We start from the raw sequence: 3,141 nt of genomic DNA, 5'->3' as shown, positions 1-3,141 counted from the left end.
TTTTCTACATATTAACTCTCAGTACTTATTTCTGTCTTTCCGTGTCTTCTTGGTAAACATGATAATAAATCTAAAATATATCCATATAAAATAATAATATCTAATTTGTGGTGTTTAAAATATGATAGACTTAAAAATATTGGGCAAAAATTAGATATACGATACAAACATATAATTAGAATTCAAGTGTTCTAAGGTCTTTCCAAAGTTCAGAAGGAGGTTAAGATATTTATTAACTTTAGGCTTTAGGTATATTCCATAATAATTTCAAAAGTAATCACAAAAAGAATGGAAGTAGAGTGTGTGACTTCCAAACCAGATGTTGGCAGCGGGGGCGGGGGGTGAAAGTTTTTGACTGTAATAAATTCAGAAGATAGAAAATCAGAAAGGAAGAAAAAGGGGATATAGGAAAAGCAGTACACAGAGAAAATGCTAAGTAAACTAGTATAAGTAAATCCAAAATATTAGAAATAACAATAAAAGTAAATGGACTAAACATACCAGCAAAGAGATAAATGTTTCAAATTAGAGAATTTGTTTAAAATCCAGGTTTATGCTACTTATAAAAGACAAATAAACAAAAAGATGAGTTTAAAATATAAAGAACAAAAAAAGTTAGAAAGTTAAAGCATAGAAAAACTACTAAGAAAAAACTAATCAAATGAAATCCAGTATAATTAATATTGGAAAGAAGGTTTCATGGCTGGTCAAAGGTGCTGGATTAATATCAGAAAGAAAAAAGAAGACTTTAATCATTCTCAGACCTGTTTACACATTATAATAATTTTGGAAAATGTTTTTAAGTTACCAATGTCTTACCCCCACCGATTAACCTCTAAAAGTGAGGCCTGGGCATGGATGTTTCTAAAAGTTCCCTGGGTACTTATGATACAGAATGAGGATTAATAACTTCCACTTTAAACAAAAATAATTTTTAGAGATAAAAATATTCATCATATACTAATTTGTTAAATATACTAAATTTGTTAAAAAGAAAATACAGAACTATTAGACTAAGACATGGGTAAATTCCTCTATTACCTGGGAGAGGGAGGAATGTTTCAAACTATCATTCAACATCCAGAAGCAATAAAATAAAATGAGATTGTATTAAAAAGACACAGGTTTCTGCCTATGAGGGTTAGCCTGCCATAGGAATTGCCACTTCACCATAGCCAAGAAAACCAGATAAATTATATAAAACAAAGTTTTTCAGATTCTGGGCAACAGAATGTGATCCCTGAGAAAAGGGAAACAAGATTATCAGTGAACTCTAAGTTAATGCCTTCAAACAGTTTTCGATCACAGTCAAGGAGGGGGCTCCAAATTAAGGAATAGGGATTAAAGTTTGGGAAGGTGGAGACTCCTATAACTTGCAGATTTAAAAACAAAGAGGAGACAACTTGACTCAGCTCAGGCTGTCATAACGAAATACCATGGCTGGTGGCTTAGAAAGCAGGGGTTTATTTTCTGAAAGTTCTAGAGGCTGGAAGTCTGAGATCAGGATGCCAGGTTCTGATGAGGACTCTCTTCCTGGTTGGCAGATCACTGGCTTCTTGCTGTACCCTAACATGGCAGAGAGAGGAGTGGGGGAAGGAGAAGGAGAGGGTGAGGGAGTCACACTTGAGAACACCACCCCATGACCTCATCTAGACCAATTGTCTCCCAAAGGCCCCATCTCCAAATACCATTACATTAGGGATTAGGGCTTCAATACATAAATTTTATGGTATACAGTTCATTGCATAACATAACTTCACAGAGAGCTCTGGAGTTCTGCATAGGGATCTTCTTGAGTCTTTGGCTGAATACTGACCTACTCATGAATGATAAGAAACAACCAAAGACTTAGGAAAGCTATAAAACAGCTTCTCAGGGCTCACACAGAAGTGAAAATAGCTTATGTTTCCACAAGCCAGAATGAAGAGACCTCCTAACATGGGTCATTGCATACAGTCCACAGAAGGGTCCTGCCTTAATATTGGAGCTAAATTAATCCCAGGATAAAGGCTTCTCTGGGAACACCTAACAAAGCTTAAAATTAAGTCTTAAAAGTTTCCAATTTACCTGCAAGTTATGAAACTACACACCAGAATAAAACCCAACACTCTTTAAAGGAATACAAATAATTTCAGCAAAACGTAAAACTCACAATGTCAGACATAATTTTAGAATTATTAGGCATGCAAATCATGAATGAACCCCCATTCACAATTGCCCCAAAAAGCATAAAATACCTAGGAATATCACTAACAAGAGAAGTGGAGGATCTCTACAGGAAAATTACAAAACACTGCTCAAATAAATCAGAGATGACACAAACAAATAGAAAAACATTCTATGCTCATGGATAGGAAGAATCAGTATTGTTAAAATGACCATAATGCCAAAAGCAATTTATAGATTTAATGCTATTGACGCTAAACTACCATTGACATTCTTCACAGAACTAGAATAAAACTATTTTAAAATTCATATGGAACCAAAAAAAGAGCCCAAAAGCCAAGGCAATCCTAAACAAAAAGAACAAATCTGGAGGCATCATGTTACCTGACTTCAAACTATACTACAGGGCTACAGTAACCTAACCAAAACAGCATGGTACTGGTACAAGAATAGACACATAAACCAATGGAACAGAATAGAGAACCCAGAAATAAGACCACACACCTACAACCATCTGATCTTCAACAAAGCCAACAAAAACAAGCAATGGGGAAAGGGTTCCCTATTTAATAAATGCTGGGAGAACTGGCTAGCCATATACAGAGTATTGAAACTGGACCCCTTCCCTACACCATAAACATAAATCAACTCAAGATAGAGTAAAGATTTAAATGTAAAGAATAACACTATAAAAACCCTGGAAGACAACCTAGACAGTACTATCTTGAACATAAGAATGGGCAAAGAGTTCATGACAAAGATGCCAAAAGCAATTGCAACAAAAGCAAAAATTGACAAATGGGATCTAATTACAGAGCTTCTGCACAGCAAAAGAAACTATCAACAGAGTAAACAGACAATCTACAGAATGGGAGAAAATGTTTGCAAACTATGCCTCTGACAAAGGCCTAATATCCAGGATTAATAAGGAATTTAAACAAATTTACAAGAAAGAGACAACTCCATTAAAAAGTG

At 34.9% G+C, this 3,141-nt stretch overlaps 1 annotated feature.

The window, feature by feature from the left end:
• Nucleotides 1,383–1,884: an enhancer, noted in NCBI's record as "NANOG hESC enhancer chr6:57579775-57580276 (GRCh37/hg19 assembly coordinates)". NCBI's record gives its function as "activates a minimal SCP1, AML or CMV promoter by ChIP-STARR-seq in primed H9 embryonic stem cells {active_cell/tissue: H9 hESC(primed)}" and the evidence as "EXISTENCE:reporter gene assay evidence [ECO:0000049][PMID:30033119]".

The sequence above is a fragment of the Homo sapiens genome, chromosome 6 (genome assembly GCF_000001405.40).
Source record: "Homo sapiens chromosome 6, GRCh38.p14 Primary Assembly".
NCBI lineage: Eukaryota > Metazoa > Chordata > Mammalia > Primates > Hominidae > Homo > Homo sapiens.
The sequence above is the reverse complement of the archived record's forward strand: the minus strand, read 5'-3'. Positions and strand labels throughout refer to the sequence as shown.